The following is a 27880-nucleotide window of genomic DNA, read 5'->3' as shown; positions in this document are numbered from 1 at the left end:
TTTCAGTAGGCCCGCGGAGTGCCAGGCAATTAGGCCACCACCTCCTCTGTGTATCTCTTTCAGCCATCCGTGTATACCGTTACAAGGTAATGGATTTCAGGTCCAACAGCAGGTTTGGATAAAACTAGAGATACCATCAGTTGTAGCATAAGCGCGAGTCTTCCTCACACTCCAGCTAACACCAGTGCAGAATACTTCATTCAATATGTTGGTTTCAGATGGTATTTTTATTTAATTCACTTAGTCTAGTGATTCTCAGACAGAGTGCTCATCAGAATCACCTGCGGTGATTTTTCCAGAATACACATGCCCAGGTCTCATCTCAGATCGATTAAATCAGAATTGCTGAGGCTGGGGCCCAGGAATATCGATGATATTTTCATTCTGGTCCATGACTTCTTTTTAAGAGCCAACGTGTTACTTTTTAACTTTAATAACTGCTGGGAAAGGGTCATTCTTGAATAAACCTCAGAGGAGAGTGAATATGAATTCTGAAAAATGTTTCTCTTTTTAGGGTAGTAGTGGCGGAAGGGTCTGGTGGCTATGGGAACCACGTTCTGAACAATTGTGAGGGTTTCCTGTAAATCACACCTGCGCTTTAACAAGCAAGGAACCCAGACAGAAGATTTGAAACTGGGGCAGTCTGGCCAACTCAGGATCTACAGATATAGTTCCTGGATGGCCATACTCAGGGCCAAAATCTTTAGGGTGAGGCCAGAGTACAGACCTCAGTGCTGTCTGATACATTAGGAGGATCTTTCCTACAGTAAGCGGAGGAACAAGAGATCTTCAGTTTTATCTTAGAGGCAAAAATGGCACCGCAAACTTGAGGTGGGGTCGGGAGACCTCAGTTCTCATCCTGACCATACTGCCAGCCAGTTGTGGGACCCAAGGGAAGTCACGTCACCTCTCTGAGCCTCCGTTTCCCCCTTGACTTTTGAGAGTACTGGGTGATGATGATCCCTGAGGATTCTTCTAGTTCTAAAAATTCAATGATTCTATGAGTATTAATAATCTTGATTTGTATGGCACTATTCTGGCAAAGAGCAGAAGTATTCAGGAATCCAATGAGTGACGGAGACTATTGACCAGGTAGTTTAATTTATTTAAGGCATATACATGGAATTCAAAGGAGAAAATATTGCTCTGGATAATATATTGAACTGTTAGTGTCTTCGGCATAGCAAAAGCTTTCCAGAGGGAAAAATTTCCCATCAGTGCAAACTTGACATTTTTCACTTCCTGGTCCATAACTGCCATTTGTCCAGCACACTTATATTTACTGTAAAGGGCCAAGTGTACGAATGCTTTGGTTGAATATTAAATAACTACATAAACGTCAAGGTCACAGTTGCAAGAAAGCCTCAGTGGAAGGCCCTGGGAGGCTTGCATTGATCTCTTGTGAAGTTCCATTCTCGGATCCTGCTGACAAGGGGAAACAATTGATGTGGACCATTATTAAGGCTTTAAGTGTTTCTCCATTGTTAAAGATCTTTTACAAGCCCAGAATAAGTGATAGTGCCCAAGGAATTGGCAAAAGCTTTATTTAGAAATATAGGCTGGTCAAAGAGATAAGCGCAAGGCACAAGCCAGAGTGCAGATGTCCTGGCTTGGGCTTACACAGCAAAGGTGGAGAGCTGAGAGGAGTCTGTCACTGGGGCACCCACCAACTCAGCCTGCCAGGCACTGCTGTCAGATTTCAGAGGGGAACTTTCACACCAGAAGCTGCAGAGAGCATGGATCCCTCTTTCAAATCCACCCTTACATTTCCTCCAGCTTCTCTCTGCTTGTGAAAACCTCCTCTCCTGCCATTTCAGTCCATCCGCTCTCCATAGCTGCAGGAAGCACCTCACCAGCATCAGGGGCAATGGGGCGAGGATGAATTATGCAGACCCACAGGTCCAGATCGACTATCTGGACTGGTCAAGTGCCTGGATAGTTAATTATGTGAGTGTTCTGCTGACCTGGAGCTGGGAGGAGAGCAAATACTGTGGACGACGGGATCTTGTTTCAAAAAGATCTCAACAGATGGAAGGATTGGTCAGGTCTACCAGATGAACTTTAGAAGGGATGTAAACATAAAACAAACATTTCCTGTGCACTAGCTCAGCTCTGTGTTTGGTGTTGCGCTTGGCCCTTTGTACGTTTTAGTTTATTTCATCCTTACAACGACACAGTGAGGGTAGGTGTCTATATCCCCATTTTTAAAGTGAGGAAACCAAGACATGGTAGGATAGAGGAAGGTCCAAGGGCTTCAGTCATCAATCTAGATTCCAATCCCAATTCTGCCCCCGCGTTAGCTGGCAAGTCACTTCATCTTCTAAAAAGAGTGACAGCCAGGCTTTGGATTGTCTTTTATTTCTCAGGTTCTAGGTCCTTAGCCTCTTGCATTTATGATTGCATTTAATCCTCAAAACAACCTTTCTCCTATTTCACAGATGGAAAGGGTGTAGATAACTTAAGTCACTTGTCCAAGGCTGCAGGGTAAGGAGCAGGGCCAGTGTCTGAGCCCAGGCCATCTGACTCCAACACCCATGCCCTCAGCAACTGCTGTACCCTCTCTGTTCCTGACATAAAAAGACACAACCATATTTTCTGTGAGGGTTAGATGAGCTAATTAGGTAAGTGCCTGATATAGTGCCTGGCATTTCACAGGCGCTCATAAATGATATTAGCTCACCATCATTATCATTCTCAGCACTATTATTAGTTATATGACCTGTTCAAAGTGGTAGCTAATAACTGGCGAAACAGGATTTGAACCCAGGTCTTGTGACTGCCAGTCCACTACACTCTCCACCTCGCTCTGGAGCACAAGACTGGGGACAGTCCTGATGTCACCATCTCAGTACCTTGTGCAGTGTCATCTCCATGGAAGATGCTCAGCCCCTGCTCAGATCGGCAGGGATCATCTTGTCACTCATTCACCACACATTTGCTAAGGCCTTGCTCTGTGTTAGGGATCCAGAGGGAAAACAATATAATGTCGGCCATCCTTTTTTCCCCCTCCAGGTTCAAATGGTGAAAGACGATGACCCCTCCTGGAAGCCCACTTTTATCGTGAAACCTGATGGTGGTTGTCAGGGTGATGGAATCTACCTCATTAAAGACCCCAGTGACATCCGCCTGGCAGGGACCCTCCAGAGCAGGCCAGCGGTGGTCCAGGAGTACATCTGCAAACCTCTCCTTATCGACAAGCTCAAGTTTGATATTCGTCTGTATGTCTTACTCAAGTCCTTAGACCCCTTAGAGATTTATATAGCCAAAGACGGACTCTCTAGGTTTTGTACCGAGCCATATCAGGAGCCCACCCCCAAAAACCTGCACCGCATCTTTATGCACTTAACCAACTATTCACTGAACATCCACAGCGGCAACTTCATCCACTCGGACAGTGCTAGCACTGGCAGCAAAAGGACTTTTTCCAGCATCCTTTGTAGACTGTCTTCCAAAGGCGTTGACATCAAGAAGGTCTGGTCTGACATCATCTCCGTGGTGATTAAGACGGTCATCGCGCTGACTCCAGAGCTCAAAGTCTTCTACCAGTCAGACATCCCCACGGGGAGGCCGGGCCCCACGTGCTTCCAGGTAACCATTGCCAGTTCCCAGCCTGCGTTTCCAGCCTTGACCGGCCTCAAGAGGGCTCTCTGGCTTCGTGTAGGATGAGTGATCGGGGTGGGATGGCCAGAGGAGGGGACAGTGTTGGTGGTGCTGTGGGCTTGGGTGTTAAACCTGGGCCCAACTTCCAAGCTTTCTGTTTGCTCCCTGTGTGATTTGGGGCAAGCTACTTCCCCTCTGTTACCTGTAAAATGAAATGAAGAATACCTATCTTAAAAGGTTCTTGTAAGAATTAAATGAGATAACACATGTAAAGCAGAGTTTTACATTCATTCGTTTACTCATTCATTCATTCACTTACTCATTCAACAACCTTTGCCACATGCTTAGTAGCGGTCAGACATTGTCCTGGGTTCTATTGAGACAGCAAGTCAGGGCCTTGCTTGCTGATGCATAGAGTCTGTTGTGAGAGACATATAATTTAAAAAGCAATGATTATGGAGGGTTTTAAATGCTAGAGTAGAATAAGAAACGTCTGAGGTGCTGAGATCGTGGGGCCACGTAACATTCTCTGGGCGGGAGTGGCGTGGTCAGGGAAGGCTTCCCAGAAGAAATAGCAGTTGAACTGAAACCTGGAGCGAGAGTTAGATGAAGCAGGAGAAACTGGGTAGGGGTAGGGGAGGCAAAGGGTTCCAGGTGGAAATGTGCTGAAGCCAGAGGGGTGAGTGGGAAGCAGGAGGCACTGGAAGAGGTTGAGTATGGTTGCTGGGTGGGGTTTAAGGCAGAGATGCGGGGGAGATGAGGGAAGGTGAGGTGGGAGAGAAAGGTAGGGGCTGTGTCGAGAGCCTGGGTATTGGTTCGGGGGGGTGGTCCCTGGAGAATTTTAAGCAGGGGAAAGATGCATTCCAATTTGTATGTTTCAAAGAACAGTGTCTACAGAGTAGAGAACACACTGAGACAAGGCTGGAAGTGGGGAGGTCCCTAGGAGACAGTTGCTTTCACATAAGCTGGAGAGGATGGTGGTATGGACTGGGAAGGTTGTGGTGAAGGTAGGGGGGATAGACAGATCTGGGTGCCAGGGAAGGAGCAAGAAGGGCTCAGCTTGGTGACTGGATGAGGCTGGAGAGAGAGGAGAGATGGTGGCAGTGAGGGCAGGGAGAACCTGAGGCTGATGTGCAGGTGGCTTGGGTACTTGCATGGATGGAGGCCCCGGAAGAGGACCAGGCTGTTGGGGGAAGGTTGGGAGTTGGACTTAAAGTGCCTATGTGACATCCAAGTGGAGAGATTAAGGGGACAATTGGCTATTTGGAGCTTGGAGTTCAGGAGACAGAGGCCTGGGTTGGGGACAGAGATGAGAACTCATCAGCAAATGGTGACCAAAGAGGGTGACGAGAAGACTGAGAAGACACCTGTGGGAATCACATTTCACTAAGGGAAAGGCAGGGGAGGGGGAGGGAGCCAGGAAAGGAGGCCAAGAAGCAGTGTCTTGAGATAGAATAAATATCAGGAGAGAAGGAGCCGGAATGGCAAGGATGAGGTGCCTGGGGAAGCAGACAGGGTCAGCGCTTCAAATGCTGCTGAGACGCCGGGCAAGACCAGCACTGAAACTGTCCTCTCCACTCGTAAGGAGTTGACTGGAGACTTCAGTGAGAATTGTCTTCAGCAGAGCGATGGAGCCAGGGCCAGAGTCTGGTGGACTCAGCCAGAGTGTGGGAGGGAAGGGAATGAGGCTGGAACATTCTTACAGGCCATTCAGCTGTGACAGTGCAGGGTGGGGAGACGTGGTGTCCAGACACTCCATAGGTACACACTTTCCTGCCCCCAGATCAATCAGTGTGGGTAGGAGGAGAGAAGAAGGGGTACCTCTGGGACCCTCTCCATCTAATCCTTAAAGTCATTTTGTAGCATTTGATATATATGAAAAAAGAATACATGGAACATACTTGTAAGCCATGAAGCCAAACAACAAAATGATTATCTCAAACCTTCCTCCCAACCCAAGATCTCCAACTAGTGTGTTTCTGCCCCAAACCATGTCCCTGCCCAGCCCTGGGGTAGACATTACCCTGAATTTTATGTTGATTATTTCCTTGCTTTTGAAAATACTTTTATTAGGCATGAATGTATCCCTAAACAATATATTGTTTTGTTTTGCTTGTTTTTGAGTTTTATAAAAATGCTATTATAAAGTATGGCGTCTTCTGCAACATTCTTTTCCACTACACATAAGGTTTCCAAGGTCCACCCATGCTGGTGGGGGTCGTGGGTACTGCCTCATTTGCACTGTTATAGATTCCATTGTGAATATGCACAATTTATTATCAGTTCTTCTGTCAAGGAACATTTGGGTTATTTCCAGTCTATGGCAAGCAGGTGACAGGTCTCTTGGGACAAGAAGTGAGAACGGAGGGAGTGGGGCAGTGTCTCTAGTGGATGGGGCATTCATTCAACAGCAGAAGAGGAGGCTGGTCCCAAAGTGCAGCCTCAAACCCAGAGAGGACACCCCAGGGGCTAGGCGCCAGCCAGCAGGATTTCCAGGCAGGCTGGCGGCACCTTTTGGAGGGCTATTCAGGCCATGATCAGTACCAGGAAGGGGTAATTGCCACCCAGAAATCTGTCCTGAGAAACTGGACCCCTGGCCTTTGGTTCCCAGGGAGGATGCACAGCTCAGCCATCAGGTAGGTGGCTTAAAACATTAGAAAGGAGAAAAGGGAAGAACTTAGAGGTAGGGCCAGAGAAAACAAGTCCTGACGTAAGCCATCAAAAAGCTAGGGTCAAGGAGATAAGTTGCAACGTGGACACGTCCAGGGGTCATCCCGGGGGACCATGTGGTCAGATCTGTTTGACAATGACAGCTATTCTAGGACTATCATGTGGGCCCGGCATGCAGAGCCAAGCCACAGAGCCCTGGCTTGGACCGAGTGGCAGGGTGGAGGGCCAGGCTGGTTGTTTTGCTGCATGTCTTGCTATGGACAGGCCACATGGGGCAGCCATCAGTGGGGCCCAAGCTGTGGGGAGCTGGTGGAGGGGGCAGACAGGGAGGGAGCCACTGGTTTGGACAGATCATGTCTGCAAGTGGAACCACAGTCTTGGGACTGTTTCCCACTGCTTGACCACACTAAATGCTTCCAGGCCTGGGCCAGAGGAGGAGCATGGGGGGAGACGCCAGGATCAAGGAAGCGCTTTTCCTCTTCCCAGCTGTGCGAACTTGGGCATGTTTCTTCACCACTCTGAGCCTCTGCTTCTTTCTCTGTAAATCACCTACGCTCACTTCCCTGCCTGCCTTTTATTGTGAAGTAATGTGGGTGACAACACTTTGACAGGGTATAAGGTGTTAGATATTTGGAATTTGTCTTACCATACATTTCAGATTCCCAGTCATTAAGGGAGAAAATGGTATCCTTGGGCCGGGCGCGGTGGCTCACGCCTGTAATCCCAGCACTTTGGGAGGCCGAGGCAGGCGGATCACGAGGTCAGGAGATCGAGTCCATCCTGGCTAACATGGTGAAACCCCATCTTTACTAAAAAAAATTACAAAAAATTAGCCGGGTGTTGAGGCAGGCACCTGTAGTCCCAGCTACTTGGGAGGCTGAGGCAGGAGAATGGTGTGAACCCGGGAGGCGGAGCTTGCAGTGAGCCGAGATCGCGCCACTGCACTCCAGCCTGGGTGACAGAGCGAGACTCAGTCTCAAAAAAAAAAAAAAAAAAAAAGAAAAGAAAATGGTATCCTTTTCTCCTTGGAGCCCTCTCTTACTTTATTCTTATCACTTGTAAGAACACTTTTGAGTTTGGGTCTCACATACCTGAGCTGACTTGGAACCTAGAGATTAAGGGACCCGGTTAGGTTCTGCCATTGACTTGCTGTGTATTCTTGTATAAGTCACTTAACTTCTCTGTGCCTCATCTTCCTTGCCTACCTCAAAGGGTTGTTGTCAAATTCCAATGAGATAAAGATTGTGAATGGCTTTTCAAGCTGTAATGTTCCGTGCAGATAGAACACATGACTTCTTTGCCACACAGCCCCTCTCGCTTGTTGCCTGGGCTTGACTCAGATTGCAGCATTCCAGAACATAAACTCTAGCCAAAGAAATTACATTTATCTTAAACATGTGACGGTGACCCCTTTCCAATCATAGCCACAATAACTACTTGGGAAATTGTGATGGCACAGAGCAGTTGCGGGCACTGCTCAGGCTGTGGGCAGGTTTCCTGTAATCTGCTGCTGAGGAACGTGGCTTCCCTGTCATTCCAGCCTGTCCCCTGTCATTGCCTAGGTAGCTCCCAGCAACATATCCTCATGTCAGCCTTCTTGAGGGTACCAGTGTGACTCTGACTTATACAGCAAGGCCTGTCTCAGTGTAGATGAATCATATGGCAGAAATAACACATGCAGAGGAAAGGCTTCCAGCTCAGCTTTCAAGAACGTTCTTTCCCAGTTCCATTGCTTGGTCTGTATCTTCTTCTAGCTCCCTGTATCTAATTATCTCCTTGGCCATGATCCTTTTGCTTAGATGCCTGAAGGAGATGCTCTTCCTAAATCCTAAGATGTTTCTCCTCTTTATTCTTTGTTTTTTTGACCTCCTCCTTACCCTTCAGCCAGTCACCCCAAGGGAAGAAGGCCAAGGAGCAATGCAGTGAGTGGTCAAGGGCTTGGATTTGGTTCTTAGACGGCCTGGGTTTGGGCTAACCCTGGCACCTCTAGCTGGTCTGCTTGGCAAGTTAACAATTCTTAGTCTCAGCTTCCTTATCTGCAGTTAGAGACCATATTTGTACCTCCCTCTCAGAATTATTGTAAGCACAAATAAGAGCAAACTAGGAAGAATATTTAGCACAGCACCTAACACATAGGAATCACTTAATAAATGACAGTTTTTATGTTTATTCCATTGTTTGTTATCTGTAACCACAACAGCTCTCAAATTTGTCTATGATGAAGTGCCTTAAAGTTGTAAGAAACCATGAAATATTCACATTTTAAACCTAACAGGAACACAAGTGTTCCAAGGAGTATAGTTTGAAAACCATCTCCTTAGCCTGGCATTTGTCACCCCTGACCCCAACCCCAGTCTAGCTTCCCTGTACCCTCCCTGAGCTCTGCAGTCTTGAAAAACAGATCCAATTGCTGTCTTGGACATAATTTGTGCTTTCCCATTGCTGCCCTTTGATTCTCTTCTGTCTCGGCTGACCTGGCATGCTCTCTCTCATTCTTGCTGTTTCTTGAACTTCAACGCCTTCTAAGGTGCTATTCAAGCCCCACCTCCTAGATAAACCCTTTCTCCAGAAACAACTTCTGATATTTCAGCTTTTTCTTCCTTTGGACTCTAACACATTCCCTGGGCACCCACTAAGACAAGCCCTGAGCTAGTATGGGCATGTGGTTATGGATAAGACAAGGTCCCTGCTCTGAGGGGGCACACAGTGTAATGGGGAGAGCTGACTCATGAGAACTCCAGTCCCTTGTAAGAAAGAAATGCTATGAGAGGGTCCATGTGGGATGCTGGGAGAGCCCAGAAAAGGGAGTCGCTAACTTTGCCTAACCCTGTCAGGGAAGGCTTCCCAGAGGAGGAGATGCTTAAGCTGGAGCGTAAAGCATGAAGAAGGGTTTGCCAAGCAGAATATGATAGAAGGATACACTCCAGTTTCCCTCCTACCTCCCTGGCTGCTGCTTCTCAGCCTCTTCTTCTGGACCTGTCAGTGTTGGAGAGTCTCAGGCCTCCATCCTTGGAAAGGTGTCCCCCTATTCACAATCACTCCTAAATGATCCCGCGTAGCCCCCATGGCCTTAAGCACCAGCTCTACGCTACTGGCGCCTATAGCTGTATTTCCAGTCCTGACCTTTCCTTGAGCTCCAGATTGGTATATCCCAGTGCCCACTTTAATTTTCTACTTGGATAGTTAATAGCCATCAAACACTGAACACGTCCAAAGTCAAGCTCTTGACTTCCTTCCCAAACCTACTCTCTATCGTCTTTACTGTTTCAGTAAACAAATGGCATTCAGTCAGTCACTCAGACCAACAGCCTGAGACATCCTTCTTTTTTCTGTTTCCCTCCTTCATACATCCAATCCATAAGCAACTCTTGCAAATATCCTTTAAAATATTCCCAAATGTAACCGCTTCTAACCAACTCCACTGTTGCCATCCCAGTCTAGGCAGCCATCACCTCGCACTTGAATGGCTGCCATAGCCACCCTTACTGCCTATAGCCTATTTTTCTCACTGTAGCCAAGGAGATGCTTTAAAACACAAGGTGGATCCAGTTACTTTCCTCACTGAAACCCTCCAATGGCTTTTTCATTGCACTTACAATCCTGGCTCCTTCTCATGGTCTACAAGATGCAGCGCCATCTGCCCCTTGTCTATCTGACCTCATCTTCCGCCACTCTCCGTTTCGCTCACTCTTTGCTATTCTTTGGAAGAGGCCTTTGTTCTTGCTGTTCCCTCTCCCTGGAATGCTCTTCCCCAGCTATTCAAACATGACTTATTCTTTTTTTTTTTTTTTTTTTGAGTTGGAGTTTCACTCTTGTTGACCCAGGCTGGAGTGCAATGGCACTCACTCACTGCAACCTCTGCCTCCTGGGTTCAAGCGATTCTCCTGCCCCAGCCTCCCAAGTAGCTGGATTACAGCTACCCGCCACCACGCCCAGAGAATTTTTAAAAAATATTTTTAGTAGAGACAGGGTTTCACCATGTTGGTGAGGCTGGTCTTGAACTCCTGACCTCAGGTGATCCACCCGCCTCGGCCTCCCAAAGTGCTGGGATTACAGGTGTGAGCCACCATGCCCAGCCCAAAAATGACTTATTCTCTCACTTTATTTAGCCCCTGTCCATATGTCACCTCCCTGAGACTTTTGCTTCTGGTGATGAGGGAGTAACAATAACCTCCTTCTGCAAACAACTAGACTACCAGAAATATATATGAGTGTGTACATGAAAGAAACATTTTCAGACTTTGGACCACAGATAGCTCAGCACTGTGATCTCTGAGAAAAAGGGGAAAAAACAAGGTGAGTCTTATGGTTGCCTCAGCTTTTCATCTGGGGGCAATTTTTGGAATATGGACACAGAGGAGGTAAACCTAAACAGCATCCAGTGACCTCATTGAGTTGAGGAGTTGAAGATTGAAGTTTGGGAAGGCTAAGGTAGCTGGAATTTGTGGGGCAGAATTACAGAAAGGAAGGAGCTAAGCAGGAAAAGAGCTCCAGAAAGCTGAGTGAGATCTCAGTGGGTCTCTGCTGAGTCCTAGGCCATGCATATATGGAGGGTTAATCCACAAAGCTGGACAAAGAATAACTGGGGGACTGATAAGCTAAACCATTTCCAGGGCTCACACAGGGCACGGAGGCATTTGAGCCCCGAACAGAGTGAAGAGTCTTTGGTGATGGCTGGGAGCATGCAATGGAGTCTCCAAAGAAGTTCTGCCTTAACAGCGAGGGTTAAATTCTCCCTGGGATGAAGGTTACTCTAGACCCATGCTATTCACCTTAAGCAAAAGGCTTTGAAGGCATCAGGCTGATTTGCAAATAACTGACTGCCAAAACAAAGCCCAGCACTTTAAAAGAAAGACAAAGTCCAGACACTCAGCATTGAAATATCGCAACGTCCAGCATTCAATTATAAAAAATCTCTAAACATTCCACAAAATAGGAAAAGGTAACCTTTACCAATGGGGAAATCATTTCAGAGAAACAGATCCAAAAATATCAGAAATGATGAAACTAGCAGGAAAAGGATACTAAAACAGCTATTATAACTATATACACAAATTTTAAGGAACATATGAGCTTAGTGAAGAGAGAAATGGAAACTAGTGAAAAGAGCCAAATGAAACTTCTATAACAGAAAATATAATCTCTGAGATGAAAATATCACTGGATGTGATTAACAGCAAATTAGACACTGAAGAAGAAATCATCAGTGAACTTGAAGACGTAGCAATAGAATGTGTCCAAAATTAAGTAGAGAAAAATGACAAGGAAAAAAAAGAACAGACCCTCAGTGGACTATGGTCCAATATCAGGTGGTCTAACATATGTGTAATTGAAGTCCCAGGGCAGAAGAGAGAGGGAATATTTAAAAAAAAAAAAACTTTTGAAGAAATAATGGCCAAAATTTTCCAAATTTGAAAAAAAACTATAAACCCACAATCTAAGAAGCTCAAGACATTCCAAGTAAAATACACACACATGCACAGACACACACACTCCCCCCAGATTATAATCACACTATTGGAAAACCAGTGATGATCAGAAAATCTTAAAAGCAGTCAGAAAGAAAAGATACACTATGTTCAGAAGAACAAAGAATAACCACAATGTTCTCATCAGAAACTGTTCTGGCCAGAGACAATAGAATGACAAGTGTCTCCTCTTTAGAAAGGCCTCCCTTTTTTATGGCTGCATAGTATTCCATGGCGTATATGTGCCACATTTTCTTAATCCAGTCTATCATTGATGGACATTTGTGTTGGTTCCAAGTCTTTGCTATTGTGAATAGTGCCACAATAAACATACATGTGCATGTGTCTTTATAGCAGCATGATTTATCATCCTTTAGGTATATACCCAGTAATGGGATGGTTGGGTCAAATGGTAGAACTAGACAAGACTCATACTGGTGGACAGGAGGAATCTGAGGTTCTTACAAGTATGGTCAACTAGAAAACCACAGAATCTATCTGGAGGGCTGCATGTGAGGTGGGTGGGAAGGTAGCTGGTTCAACTGCAGAGCTGCTGGATCTAGGTTAGTGGAGAGCTAATAGGAACTGACATTACTATAATCAGAGCTTTTGGTGCTTTTCCTACAGTTCACAAAGTGCTTTCCCTTGGTTTACTTGTTTCAGTCCTTACTATGAAAGAGGTAAGGCACGAGGATATTTCCTTATTTTATAGTCTGGAGATGGGTTACTGCAATGGTAAGGTGTTTCACTCAAGTATACCTGTCCAGTGTTTGTATTAGAACTGGAATCCAAATCTCATTCTCTGAATTTATCTTTTTCAATAAAAAACTTATTTTGCTGTGAAAAAAAATGAAAAAAGAAAGGCCCCCCTGGCCCTCCTAGGTAGATCACCAAATGCTCTCCTCCACCCACTGTATCACACTCTGTGTTCTTACCTTGCTTTCATTATTGACTTGCTTGTGGTATCTCTCCCATCTAAAACATAAGCTACAAGGGGGTAGGAGTTTTGTTTTATCACTGCTTTATGCTCAGTGCCAAGAACAGTGCCTGGTATCTAGTAGTGCCCAGTAAATAATTCACAAAGTAAGTAATGCCTTCAGGCAGAAAAGTATGAAGGCAGAGAGCACTAAAGCATCCTTGAACTACTAATGTTTCAGCACAATGAGAGCCCAAGATGTGTAGTAATAGTAAGTGGGAGGAGATAAAGCTGGAGTGTTGACAGATGTCAGGCCATAGAGCAATTTGTAGGACATGCTGTGGGACTTGGGCTTCATTTTGTAGACACGGATTTTGGGCAAAGGATTGTTAATAGTCTATTTGCACTTTAGAAAAATGGCTCTGGCAGCCCCTTGTGTCAGATGAATTAGAGGAGCAAGTTTGAGAGCAGAGGAAAAGTGAGAGGTGGCACAGACTTGTGGAGAGTAGAAGCAGAGGGGATGGGCCAGGTCTAGAAAGCTTTTTAGGCAGTAGAGTGTGCAGGTGTTAGTGGCCACCTGGTTGTAAGGGATGAAGGGAAAGTTTTGACTTGTGTGATTGGGTGGATAAGGAATACAGAAAACAAAGGAGATTTTAGAAAAATATGGTGTATTTGTTATCTATTGCTGTGTAGCAAATTACCCCAAACCTTAACAGCTTAAAACAACAAATACCCACTATCTCGCAGTATACATGGATCAGGAATTTAGGCTTAACTGACTGCTTCTGGCTCAAAGTCTCTCTCAAGGCTGCAGCCCACATGTTGGCCAGGACTGCAGTCATCTCAGAACTTGACTGGGGAAAGCTCCTCCTCCAAGCCCACTCCCATGGCTGTTGGCAGGTCTCAGGTACCCTCTAACTGTTGGCTGGAGAAATCAGTTCCTTGCCACCTGGGCCTCTCCATGGGACAGCTCATGACAATATGGCAGGTGGCCTCCCTCCGAGTGAGTGAGCAAGAGAGTGAGAGAAAGCCCCCCAAGATAGAAGCCACGGTCTTTTTATAACCCAATATTAGAGGTGACATTTCATCATTTCTGCCCTATTCTATCTGTTAGAAACAAGTTACTAGGTGAGGTCACACCCCAGTGTGTGCGAGGGGGCATTCCACAAAAGGAATGAATACCAGGAGTTAGGGATCATTGGGACCATCTTAGAAACAGTTGACCACAGAGTGAGTTTGGATACGCTGAATTTGTGGACTCTAGGACCTCCCAGTTGGGGATACTGTGGATGCAGATGGAAGGGTAGGCGTGGGGCTCAGGAACGAACCACTGCTGTTAGGATGTAGTTTGGAACCTTTGCATAAATTTATAATTAATGGCTCAGGAATCTCCCCAACTTGATTTGAAGCTTCTAGAGGTCGGGAATGAAGGACAGATATCTTTAAACCCCCCAGGGAGCCCCTCAAGTAGAAGGTGATCAACACATAATTGCTGATTTAATTACTTGGGGAGGCAGAATATCACATGGTTGAAAAGCTCTCCATTTACAATTCCTGCTCCGTTAGAGGGACTTGGAAAGAGGCTTTCCCCATGCTAAGCTGCACATTCCTTGTCTGCACAAAGTGAATTTTCAATAAATAAATAAATAAATAAATAAATAAATAAATAAATAAATAAAGCTTTTTCCTTGGGAACCCCAGTTTATCACATAGGTAAAAGGTCAAATTTGATCTGATCTGGTTGGCCTCTCCCTTGGGACCCCAGAAAAGAACCCCGGTTTGAAAACCACTGGACCAAGTAAATACCTGATTTTCTGCCAGCTGGGACATTCTGTGATTTTATGACAAGATAACTCTACATATCTCCCAGTTCTGTGATTCTGTTTATTAAGATCCATTGATGCTACATATTTTATTGGACTTTTGAAAAGAAAATCATGCATATTTCCTTGAACTTGTGAAAAAATGTCATAAAGCTGGCTCTCATTAAGCACTTTCTATGTATCAAGCACTGTGCAAAAAATGTTATATTGCATTATCTTTATTTGATCTTTTCTCCCCTACTGGAGTCTAAGACTTGTTTAGTTCACTGTTGTATTTCCAGCAGCTAGAATAGTTCTTGGGACATAGAAAGCATTAAATAAATATTTTCTGGGCCGGACGCGGTGGCTCACGTCTGTAATCCCAGAACTTTGGGAGGACAAGGCAGGCGGATCACCTGAGGTCAGGAGTTGGAGACTAGCCTGGCCAAGATGGTGAAACCCCGTCTCTACTAAAAATACAAAAATTAGCTGGGCATGGGGGCACGTGTCTGTAATCCCAGCTGCTTGGGAGGCTGAGGCAGCAGAATCACTTGAGCCTGGGAGGCGGAGGTTGCAGTGAGCCGAGATGGTGCCACTGCACTCCAGCCTGGGCAACAAGAGAGAAACTCTGTCTCAAAAAAAAAAAAAAATTAAATTAAATTAAAAATAAATATTTTCTGAATGGATGAACTAAGGTAAGTAAGTAACATTCATAGTTCCATTTTATAGATGAGGAAATTTGGGCTTAGAGCTGCTAAGTAACTTGCCTGTAGTCACACAAGTTAAAGGCAGAACTAAGATATGAAATGAGCCCCTCTTGACTACAAAGCACACTAATGCCATTTCTTTTTGGTGGAATTGGCAGGAAACTGGAAAGAGATAGCATATATTGAGTACCTTCTATATGATGAGCATAGGCCTAGGTATTGCTTTTCACTGCCATTATCAACAACCCTGACAGATAGCTATTGTTATCCTCATTTTTCAGATGAGATCATTGAGGCTCAGAGTGGCTAAGTACCTTACCTAGAGTCATGTAGCTAGTGTAAGGGACTGAGCTGGGATTGGAGCCCAGGTCTTTCTAACTCCAAAGCATTCCTATACAAGACCCAGCATATTCAAAAACATGCACTCAAGTTTAGGTTCTGGAAAATTTCATGCCACTGGTGGGTGTAGACAGGGCTGATGAGGCTTTAACACCCCTGCTCCAGCTCCCAGCATTCCCACCTTCACATTCATGAAACCACTGGGCATTGAACTGGGAAGAGTCCACCAGGCTGAGAAAGTACAAAATATACCAAAAAGTAAGAGTTGATGACTAAGGATGATAAACGTCATCACCACAGCCTGCTGCTCTCTGTAGCCTCATCAACATCACATGTCTCAGACCAGGTCTGGAGTTAGACTGATGATGTCACCAGAGTCTCTAAAAGGCCTCATCACTCACATCCACTTGTCATGTATTATTAAGCAGATCTATAATCCATGCAACATTTTCTACTGAATTTCCATTTCTTTCTTTTCATGACCAAGGAAAGAAAAATAGAGTGAGGATGACTTTTCCCAACTTTTCATCCTTATTGCCCTTCATTGAAAAATAACTTCATCTTGAATCAGCCCCCAAAAATGGTCATTCAGGCTCTAATTTCATTAATAAGGATGGAGCTACAGTTTAATAATTATCATTTAACTAATGCATATTCTATATAGACTAGTAAATGGATTTCCCTCATCTTTCCTCCTTGAATCCACAGAGAAGGGGAGTCTACAACCCTATCTTTTTCTTTTTTCTCTTTATTCTCCACATTAATTTTTTGAGACTTTGGGGTTCTATTAATTATGTTAGAAATTTTCTGCATTATCACTTCTGTAGCCATAATGAGAGTCCTCTGGAAAATCGAAAGTCCTTGTCGTCTGAATCAGAATCTCATTAGGGGCAGCGATCTCAAGGATGAGCAAAAGTTATCCAGATGAAGAGTTGTTCTAGGCAGAGAGAACGAGATGCTCATGAGTGGCTGGCCCCAGTTGTAGGAGCTGTAAGGAATAGAAAGAAACCCGAGTGACTGGAAGACAAAGCTTCACCCAAGGCAGAATGCTGGATTTAAGAGCAGGCGTGAAGCAGACGGTGTTGGAGAACTCCACCTGTGCAGGGGTGTCACACAGGGCCCTGCGCTTAGAAGGGCTCTGAGCTTGGTTTAACTATGTGAAACTGTTCATCCTTTTTGAACAAAGGGCCCTGCATTTTTATGTTGTGTAGTCAGTCCTGCTTGGGTGTGAAAGCCAGCTCTGTCATTGATTAACTAGCTAGGCGGTTTCTGGGAAATCCATTGGCCTTCCTGAGTTTCAGTTTCTGCTTCTGTAAAGTGGAGCACATAATCCCTTCTTCAAATACGCTGTCATGAGGATTCAGTGAGACTATGAATAATCAGTGCATTGTATAGTAATGGGTGCCTAGTAGGTGCCTAATCAATATTCCTGTCTTCTTAACTAAGAGGGTGTATCTGAATCACCTGGGGAATTTGCTTTATTTAAAATACATTCACCTGGGTTCCGCTCTAAGCACTTCTGACTCTGTAGGGATGTGGTGGGTTTTTTTGTTTGTTTGTTTGTTTTTTGAGACACAGTCTCATTCTGTCACCTAGGCTGGAGTGCAGTGGCACCATCTTGGCTCACTGCAACCTCCACCTCCTGGGTTCAAGCAATTATCCTGCTTCAGCCTTCCATGTAGCTGGGATTACAGATTCGCGCCACGACACCCAGCTAATTTTTGTATTTTTAGTAGAAACGATGTTTTGCCACATTGGCCAGGCTGGTCTCAAACTCCTGACCTCAGGTGATCTGCCTGCCTCGGCCTCCCAAAGTGCTGGGATTACAGGAATGAGCCACCAAGCCCAGCTGATGTGGTGGTTTTGAACGGGGTCCTTATATGACACTGATGTATACCTCAGGTTTGCAAAAGCAGCCTTAGGTTCTCAGAGAGCTAGCTAAGAAGCCACTTAGTAAACGAGAGCAGAAGAAAAGGCAGAGGGAGAAATTGATGGGCTACTACTCATCCTCAACATAATAAAAAACCTGTTAAAGAAGAAAGAGGTCATCAACAGCCCTTCAGACGACAAAGACAGTGCTGAAACGCACTGTGGGAACTCATCCCATTATCAAGGTTCCTGTAAAATTTTCTGCTGTCCATTTGGTCTGACAAGTACCCCCAGAGGAAGAGGGGCTGTGGACAAGAGAAGCCAGGGTCAAGGCCAAGGTTGGGGACTGAGTTTGAATTTATTTTCAACTTAATGACCCTAATACCATACTCAATAGAGACAGTAATTCTGAATTGTGTTTATCCTGCCCAGATTTTAGGCTTTGACATTCTTCTAATGAAAAATCTGAAGCCTATACTACTTGAAGTAAATGCAAATCCCAGTATGAGAATCGAACATGAGCACGAAGTAAGTATTTTGAGCATCTCATTGACTATGTTGCCATACAGCTGAATATTCCTACCCTCATGTTGCTCACTTAACAAAACAAGATTGGACATTCTCAGATTTTCATAGCCAAATTCTGTTCAAGTCAAATAATTTCAGTTTTGTTGAGTTCTCAACATAGACTATTAATACAAAGCCTATCTGACCTGTGGTCACTTCCCAGCATGCTGTTTTTCCAGTGTTGAAGGTTTGGAAACTTAGAAGCAGCTGAGCCTTCCCATCAGTTTTGACATGAACTAATTAGCCTCAGGAGATGAACTAATTGAAATTCTATGAGTATGATTTAGTCATGTTGACATACTTGAATCACTAAGATAAATAATACATTTAGCAGTGGTTATATTTTTCTCCCCCTCCCCCAAAAAATGCATTTAAAAAAACTGGAAGGAAATACAGCAGATATCAATATTGGGTTTAGAGAGGATTATATGGATTATTTTAGTTTTCTTAACCCCTTTCTATATTTCTTAATTTTTTGCAGTGAGCATGTATCATTTTGATAATTAGAAAAACATAGTGCTATTTTTCCTCTTCATGTATTTGGTTAATTTATAAAAGGAAATCGACATTCTTAAGGTAGTATAAAGGAAGTCTTTAAAAATTTTCTTCTATAGATTAGCATAAGCAAAATTTACTAGTATAACCCCTGGAGCTAGCTGGATAGCCACTTGGCACGGAATCACGGTCTCCACTGTGACACAGAATCCTTACCCGTTCAAGCTTTCTCCAGGGGTGTTTGAAAATGTCCCCAGCCTCGTTGATGAAGAAGTGAAAGTGGCTGTGATCAGAGACACTCTGCGCCTCATGGACCCACTTAAGAAGAAAAGAGAGAATCAGTAAGTACTTTTTTATGTCATTCATTTCTATCAACTCTGCCTCCTAACCCGGCTTCGTATCCTAAGCAGGTAAGTTCTTGGAACCTGTTACCATTGTGAGTGAGATTTACATCTTAAACAATTCTAATAAAATATCTTTGTTTTATAAATATCAGCCCCCAAGCAATCAGTGACTCAAATCCGGAGTAATCTGACAAATAGGCTTCCGTTGATGAATTTCTGAGTGTTATCAAATCTGGAATGTCTCTTCCTTTTTTTTATTATTATTATACTTTAAGTTTTAGGGTACATGTGCACAACGTGCAGGTTTGTTACATATGTATACATGTGCCATGTTGGTGTGCTGCACCCATTAACTCGTCATTTAACATTAGGTATATCTCCTAATGCTGTCCTTCCCCCCTCCCCTGACCCCACAACAGGCCCCAGTGTGTGATGTTCCCCTTCCTGTGTCCATATTCAACATTCTTAAAGAAAAGAATTTTCAACCCAGAATTCCATACGGAATATCTCTTCTAAGAAGCTGTCTCCCTCAAGGCCAGGCCTCCCACTTGCCCACCATTGCACACATAGTGCTTCTCTTTGAAATCCTCAAGCACAGGAAAAGTACAATAAAATGCAGGAGAAGAGGGCCATAGGTAACTAGGACATGGTAAGAGTTGCTTCCTTTTTATTTTCTTCATGTTTACACTCTTGCAGTATAAACTTTTAGTTTCAAAATTGGCAGGGCCAATTTAATGACAGTTCTATGATATTTACAACACTTGTAATTCTGCTTCGTCCCCACCCACTCAGTGGTACATTACATTGCGCTGTTGGTGGATATATGTGCTTCGCCCTCCCTCCATGAAATCACCCCAGAAATGAATATTTCACTTGAGTATGTTGTTTTGTTTTTACCAAATTCCAGGCTCTCACAAAGTAGGTGTTGAGTACATATCATTGTGTCAATGTTTCAGGAAGAAAAATCAAAGGCATCTCAAATAGCACTTCTCATATCCCTAGACGAATCAGATTGACCCTAATGAGCGCAGACAAATAAAGCACTTGTCAGTAATTGTTCAAGACTGGGAGGAATGCAGACTTCCCCAAGCAAGTGGTGGTTTGCAGGTTCCTCTACCAAGGCTTCTCACCACCTGGGCTCAAGCCCAAATATCACCCTATGGTAGTGCTTCTTACGCTTGGCTGCACGTTAGAACCCTCTGGGCAGCTTTCAGAAAACCAATACTAGAGTTTCCACTTCTAGAGGTGCTGATTTTAATTGGCCTGGGTGGAAGGCCTGGCCACAGAAAGTTTCTAGGTTCCCTAGGTGATTCTGCTGTGCAGCCAAGGCTGAGTGCCACTGCCCTGCAGGAAATATTACCCTGAAGAAGTATTGGTCATAGTCTGAGTCAGGCTGGATGGCGCCGGCCCGGCTGAGTTCTTGTCAAGAGTGTTCTTGACTGTGTGAGGCACAGATTGCCATTGTTGGCAAGACTCGGCTGAGAATGTTTACCTGTAGTTTGCATGGGCCAATCCCACCAGGTGTGGCTTCTTCCACCGATCAGTGCTTCAAAGCTGTCCTCTGAGCAGCTCAGACCCGATGGCAGCCAAATAATGTGTTCACCAGTACGTATGTGTCTGCAGCTGCCTTCTTTAGCCATCCCAAGGGAAAAGCAATGGATTAATTGCTATTTGGTCAGAATTACTGCAATAAAACTCATTCCTCAAAAATCTATTCTCTAATAGTTATTGGTCTCAGCAGCAGATATTAGGTTCTGAGAAATCGTATGGTACTGTAAGGAGATTTGGGTAGCCTTTTATGCCAGTATGGCATGGCAGTACAGTTTTCTTAGGATGACTTTGACACATCAGCATTCTTTTTTTTTTTTTTTCTTTTTCATACTTTAAGTTCTGGGATACATGTGCAGAACATATAGGTTTGTTACATAGGTATACACGTGCCATGGTGATTTGCTGCACCCATCAACATGTCATCTACATTAGGTATTTCTCCTAATGCTATCCCTCCCCTAGTCCCCACCCACCGACAGGCCCCAGTGTGTGATGTTCCCCTCCCTGTGCTCATGTGTTCTCATTGTTCAACTCCCACTTATGAGTAGGAACGTGCAGTGTTTGGTTTTCTGTTTTTGTGTTAGTTTGCTAAGAATGACGGTTTCCAGCTTCATTCAGGTCCCTGCAAAGGACATGAACTCATTCTTTTTTATGGCTGCATAGTATTCCATGGTGTATATATGCCACATTTTCTTTTTTTTTTTTTTTCCCAAGGCAGAGGAATTTTTCTTAGTGCAGAACAAAATGAAAAGTCTCCCATGTCTACTTCTTTCTACACAGACACGGCAACCATCCGATTTCTCAATCTTTTCCCCACCTTTCCCACCTTTCTATTCCACAAAGCCGCCATTGTCATCCTGGCCCGTTCTCAATGAGCTGTTGGGCACACCTCCCAGACGGGGTGGTGGCCGGGCAGAGGGGCTCCTCACTTCCCAGTAGGGGCGGCCGGGCAGAGGCGCCCCTCACCTCCCGGACGGGGCGGCTGGCCGGGCGGGGGGGCTGACCCCCCCCACCTCCCTCCCGGACGGGGCGGCTGGCCGGGCGGGGGGCTGACCCCCCCACCTCCCTCCCGGACGGGGCGGCTGGCCGGGCAGAGGGGCTCCTCACTTCCCAGTAGGGGCGGCCGGGCAGAGGCGCCCCTCATCTCCTGGACGGGGCGGCTGGCCGGGCAGGGGGGCTGACCCCCCCCCCACCTCCCTCCCGGACGGGGCGGCTGGCCGGGCGGGGGGCTGACCCCCCCACCTCCCTCCGGGACGGGGCGGCTGGCCGGGCGGGGGGCTGACCCCCCTACCTCCCTCCCGGACGGGGCGGCTGGCCGGGCGGGGGGCTGACCCCCCCACCTCCCTCCCGGACGGGGCGGCTGGCCGGGCGGGGGGCTGACCCCCCCACCTCCCTCCCGGACGGGGCGGCTGACCGGGCGGGGGGCTGACCCCCCCACCTCCCTCCCGGATGGGGCGGCTGGCCGGCCACATTTTCTTTATCCAGTCTATCATTGATGGGCATTTGCTTTGGTTCCAAGTCTTTGCTATTGTGACTAGTGCTGCAATAAACATACGTGTGCATGTGTCTTTATAGTAGAAAGATTTACAATCCTTTGGGTATATACCCAGTAATGGGATTGCTGGGCCAAATGGTATTTCTGGTTCTAGATCCTTGAGGAATCGCCACACTGTCTTCCACAATAGTTGAACTAATTTACACTCCCACCAACAGTGTAAAAGTGTTCCTATTTCTCCACATTCTCTCCAGCATCTGTTGTTTCCTGACTTTTTAATGATCGCCATTCTAACTGGCGTGAGATGGTATCTCATTGGGGTTTTGATTTGCATTTCTCTAATGACCAGTGATGATGAGCTTTTTTTCATATCTTTGTTGGATGCGTAAATGTCTTCTTTTGAGAAGTGTCTGTTCATATCATTCGCCCACTTTTTGAGACACATCAGCATTCTTATTCCTTTATTGGGAGCAAGAAGTTCAAGAGCCCTTGTATGGCCTGAGTCTTTTTAAGCTGTGCCACCTAAACATGAAGGGGTAGAAGCGTTCTACTGTATTTTCATTAAATGACATTGAAACACATTTAGTTTTATTTTTCTTGTTCTAGTTGCTTTTCTTTACCTACGCCAGTTAATCCATAGGAGCTGCATTCTATGTCATCTATATGAGCTGCAGGCCTAAAATTTAATAATGGGGCATAGGACCATTGGGAAGGATAGGAAAGGCATTTTACAACTTATCAAGTCATAAATAGCAGCACCTCATTTTTAATTTAAAAAGCATTGACTTTTTTATTGATAACCAGGAACAGTTAGAAGTTGGAACTTGACTTTTATTCTAATATAAAACCCTTTCATCTCATCCTCTTCTTACCTACAATGTAAAGATATATGATAATAGCTAACGCCATTTACTGATATTTTTTCTTAATTTCACCTTTTGTTTTTAACTCAGCAAGGATTATCCATGAAAGTACTTTGTAATCCATAAAGTGTGTTTATATGTAAGGGATTATGATCATTTTGATAAACTTACCATGCAGAGGAAAAGGCTGAAATTATTCTCAACTCCTTTGCGTAGAAATGTTTCAGAATAAGTTGAAAAATTACCTGATTTATGCTGCACAGTGTTGTAGTGCTGAATCCTGTGTCCAAATCTGAGACTATGTCACTCCAACTGCATAAAATGATGTTATGTAGACTTCCAGGCTAGAAGTTACCTTTAGAAGCCAGGGTTTCTAGCGTTTGCACAGAATCTGACCTATTTTTTGAAAAAAACAAATGGAATCCCAGCCTTTCCCTTCAACTCTTTAGCAAAAGAGGATCTGAAGTTTCTGTCCATCATTAGTTATTTCTTGAGAACAGTTTGTCAGCAAGACTGCTGAGGCGGGTCTTCACTTCCTCACACAGACTAAAGATAAAAAGTAGATCCCCCAAACTCCTCATCTCCCCAGACTGCCCTGGACAGGTGCAGAGGAGTCCTCAGAAGGAGCCCCAGACCCGTGTGCATGCATCATGCATCTCCCTGAACTCTGGGTCTTGTAGCCTAGGGTCAGTTTCTTGGTGGGACTGAAAGCAGTCCTCAGGCAGTCTACCGGGGGAAGAACTTGACTCTGCTGACACCCACCTTGGCATATTCGAGGGTGCCTTCTCTGGAGCTGAAAAACCTGAGATTCCAATCCTGACTCTGTCACCAACTGGTGGTGAGTCCTTGGAGATGTTGCATAGCTGTTTTGAGCCTCATAATCTTTTCTATAAAATGGGGATAATGATGTTCAAATAAACAATGAGAGGCCGGGCACGGTGGCTCACACCTGTAATCCCAGCACTTTGGGAGGCCAAGGTGGGCGGATTACTTGAGGTCAGGAGTTCAAGACCAGCCTGGCCAACATGGTGAAACCCCATCTCTACTAAAAATACAAAAATTAGCTGGGCATGGTGGTGCATGCCTATAATCCCAGCTACTTGAGAGGCTGAGGCAGGAGAATCGCTTGAACCTGGGAGGTGGAGGTTGCAGTGAGCCGAGATCGTGCCACTACCCTCCAGCCTGGGTGACAGAGTGAGACTGTGTCTCAAAAAATAAATAAAAATAAAAATAAGTGAGAAAAACTTTTAATGTATGGTAAGTGCTTGATAATGCTGAGTTTACCACTCAACAGCAGATCACAAGGTCAGGAGTTTGAGACCAGCCTGGCCAATATGGTGAAACCCTGTCTCTACTAAAAATACAAAAAAAAATTAGCCAGGCATGGTGGTGCATGTCTGTAGTCCCAGCTACTCGGGAGGCTGAGGCAGAAGAATCGCTTGAACCCGGGAGGCAGAGGTTGCAGTGAGCCAAGATCACACCACTGCACTCCGGCCTGGCAACAGAGCGAGACTCTGTCTCAAAAAAGAAAATAAAAAAGAAAGAAAGTATCTACTGGACATGAAAGAAAAAACAATGCTTAGTTATTATTCTCTTTCCTGGTATACTTAAAGCAGATTTTTTAGTTTAAAATCAATGATGTATCCTAAAAATGAAGCTGCTTGATGACTGTGGACTAGAATCGACATTGGAGCTGGTTACCAATGCAAGGTTCTGTTTCCAGGTAGCAAGATGTCACTGGCTGATATTTATTTCATGTGTTAGGAGAAATTACCTTTGGCTCCTGAAGGAGGAAAACATCTGTCATATGTGAACTATTTTGGCTAAGGTAGCATTTTGTAATATCTAGTGACTCAATTGATTTTCTTACCAAGGTTCCGTGGAGGCTCTGTAGGGACATGCGAAGCAGGAAGCTTATGGGGTAGGATTCTGGAAACGTTATATAAATGGAGGTAAAATTCACATGTGATACAATGAACCATTTAAAAGCGCACAATTCCGTGGCATTTAGTACATTCACAAAGTCGTGCAACCGTCACCACTAGCTCCACAGCGTTTTGCCACTCCAAAAGGAAACCATCAAGCAATCACTCTCCATTCCCCCTCCCCCCACTTCCCGGCAACCAACAGTCTGCTTTCTGTCTCTGCAGATTTAGCTATCCTGGATATTTCATCTGAATAGAATCATACCCTATGCAGTCTTTTGTGATTGGCTTCTTTCACTTAGTATAATATTTTCGAAGTTCACCCTTGTTGTGGCTTGTGTCAGTACTTCATTCCTTTTTACAGCTGAATAATATTCCAAGAGATGGATAGACCACATTTAGTATTCATTTGTCAGTTGATGGACATTTGGGTGGATGCCGTCTCTTTTTCAACCAGAGGGATGCTACAAGGATCTATTTCATATGTTGGCATTCTACATTAGATTTCCTTTGAAGCGAGGGGATCTTTTTTGCTACGAGAAGTTTTTAGAACTCCTGTTTTTATCCAGACTCCTCATTTATTGCTAAAAGCCCAGACCTTAGAACTCATCATGCTGGTCAGTTCCCTGGTTCAAGAACCTCCCTCTGAGGCTGGGCGCGGTGGCTCACGCCTGTAATCCCAGAACCTTGGGAGGCCGAAGCGGGTGGATCACAAGGTCAGCAGTTCGAGACCAGCCTGGCCAACATGGTGAAACCCCATCTTTACTAAAAATACAAAAATTAGCTGGGCCTGGTGGTGGGCACCTGTAATCCCAGCTACTCGGGAGGCTGAGGCAAGAGAATCGCTTGAACCCGGGAGGCGGAGGTTGCAATGAGCCAAGATGGAGCCACTGCACTCCAGCCTGGGCGACAGAGCAAGACTCCTCTCAAAAAAAAAAAAAAAAAAAAAAAAAAAAAAAAATCTCCCGCTGAAGCATCACTGACAGAGGAGCGGCCTGTGTCCTGGCAAGACAATAGACTTGGTATCAGCCAGGCCTGGGATAATGTTCTCAATCTCTGATCATGGCACCCTGGGCTTGGTGGTAAAGTCACTTTGGCCTAATCATGTCTGTAAAATGGAAATCCAGGTACCTCCTTGGCTGGATTGTCATGGTCATGATATGAAATGACACGTGTGAGAAAGGCCCATGGAATCTGAGAGCATTAGACAACAGCTAGTTCTTAGGGTCACCAAGTGGTCAATCAGGCTTTCCTTTAAAATCATGCTCATGGTGACAAATAAGTCACCAGCTGTTGAGGCAAGCTGTTTGAGTTGTGGACATAATGGTTCTGCCCCACTGAATCATACATGGGGAAGCTATGCTGGAGGGAGGTAAGAAACTTGCCCCAAGTCCCAAAGCTAGTAAGAGATAGACTGGAACCTGGGTCCTGGGCCTGACTCCTACACCAATGTTTGCCTGGCCATGAGGCTGTGTTGGTCTCCAGTTTCCATTTCACATTCAAAGCTTAACTTTGAAGGTATGGGAAAAAAATAAGAATAATCAACGGAAAATTTCCTCTTTCACTCAAGGTATTAGGGCAGCCTAAGTCTTTCTTTTTAAAACTTCTGTCAGAGGCAGAAGTAAATAAATTGCAATCTCAATTATTTTTAAAGCAAGATGCTTGTTCCATCAATTGATTAATTTTGGGCTCGAGGGGACCCATTTTACTAGTATTGGGCTCCTTCTCCTGAACATAGATATTTCAGGGAACTGGACTCCTTTCTCAAGAATCATAGCCATTCAGGACCCCAGTGTAATATAAATGAAGACAGAGACAGGCTTGGAGAAATCGGAGGGGGTTTTATTGATATCATGATGCCACGCAATGCCTGGGAGCTGGGTTATGGACTGCTTTCCTCTTATTCAGAGGTATATATTTGGAACATGACTTATATATGGCCCAGAAGCCCCTTTTTCCATGTAACATTTCACAATCCTCTCCCCATTTCATTACTTCCTATCACCCTAACAACCAGGTTTGCTGTAAAGAGAGGAGTCAGCCTGCCAAGCAGCTGTGGTCCTAATTCGGAAGTGTTTGTCCACTAAAGGTTTTATTGGGCACTCAGGCTTTACTTCTTACCTTGTCTCCAAGCACATCTCTTGGGCCCTGTGCCATGTTTGGTGCCAATAGATGAATCCCCAAATCCGGTAGATTCTATGTAGAATCTAGAATAAAGTTGAAACATTCTCAGAGAACAGAAAACAAGGAATCTCCCAGTGGACTCTGTTTTGTGGCTGGGCCTTGTCGTACAACCAAGGAATGTAGCTTTGTCCAATCCTGGAGAAGATTAGAGAAATATTAATCAGAAATTCTCCAGACCCAGAACCCTGCCCCTTAAATTGGTGGCACCTCTTATTGAAGTCCCCTCAAAAATAACGAAGAGGAGTTCTTAACTATCTAAACTAAGCATGCTGTCGTAAGCACAGAACATGATCTTTCTGACTGGAGAATAGATTCTTCCTGAAGAATCATCCGCTATCCTGCTGAATGGCCCATTCATGTGTGCACTGCTGACCTCCAGTTGAAATTCTGGGCTCAATTGATTCCTGAGGTGATATGGTTTGGCTCTGTGTCCCTACCCAAATCTCATCTCGGATTGTAATCCCCACAAGACCTGGTGGGAGGGGATTGGATCATGGGGGCAGTTTCCCCCATGCTGTTCTCGTGATAACGAGTGAATTCTCATGAGATGTGATGGTTTAAAACTGTGTGGCAGCTCCCGCTTCTCTCTCTTTCCTGCCACCTTGTGAAGAAGGTCCTTGCTTCCCCTTTGCCTTCCGCCATGATTGTAAGTTTCCTGAGGCCTCCCAGTCATGCTTGCTGTTAAGCCTGCAGAACTCTAAGTCAGTTAAACCTCTTCATCATAAATTACCCAGTCTCAAGTAGTTCTTTATAGCAGTGTGAAAACAGACTAATACATGAGAGTTCAATCAGGAACCCTGACCCTGCAGACCAGCACACATTGACCCCAAGCACCTTTGAAGATTTTACATAAATAAAAAAGTCTGGGTCACAGAGAAATGAATATTTGCATACTTATTTGAATTTCATTTGTACCATGTGTGGATTAGAGAAACAGATATTTATTTATCTCGAGTGTTTATTGAGCACTTACTGTGTGTCAGGGGAAGACTGCAGAAGTGAATTAGATCGCCAGCCAGTAGGGGTGGCAAGACCCACGCATCAATATCTGTAAGGTGGAATGTGCTAAGTACTGCAAGCATAAA

General features: G+C 44.9%; 1 protein-coding gene across 8 annotated transcripts in view, besides 1 other annotated feature; it reads left to right on the top strand.

Moving 5' to 3' along the window:
* Positions 1-27880, top strand: part of TTLL11 (tubulin tyrosine ligase like 11) — a 277635-nt gene that overhangs the window by 100526 nt on the left and 149229 nt on the right. For 6 of the 8 annotated variants that reach the window (XR_001746188.2, XR_929721.4, XR_929720.4 and 3 more), the window contains exons 4-6: positions 3013-3588; positions 17804-17899; positions 18659-18774. Coding sequence is in view for 5 of the 8 variants with exons in the window: in NM_001139442.2 (NP_001132914.2) it covers positions 3013-3588; positions 17804-17899; positions 18659-18774 (788 nt within the window). In the remaining 3 variants the exon portion in view is untranslated. Of the gene's footprint in view, positions 1-3012; positions 5751-17803; positions 17900-18658; positions 18775-27880 lie in introns of those variants that run through there. The other 2 variants (XM_047422825.1, NM_194252.3) reach the window with 2 other exon arrangements.
* Positions 6546-7047: an enhancer, noted in NCBI's record as "H3K4me1 hESC enhancer chr9:124748015-124748516 (GRCh37/hg19 assembly coordinates)". NCBI's record gives its function as "activates a minimal SCP1, AML or CMV promoter by ChIP-STARR-seq in naive H9 embryonic stem cells {active_cell/tissue: H9 hESC(naive)}" and the evidence as "EXISTENCE:reporter gene assay evidence [ECO:0000049][PMID:30033119]".

This window comes from Homo sapiens, chromosome 9, assembly GCF_000001405.40.
Source record: "Homo sapiens chromosome 9, GRCh38.p14 Primary Assembly".
NCBI classification, from domain to species: Eukaryota; Metazoa; Chordata; class Mammalia; order Primates; family Hominidae; genus Homo; species Homo sapiens.
Note: the sequence above shows the minus strand (reverse complement) of the source record. Positions and strands in the feature narration are given on the sequence as shown.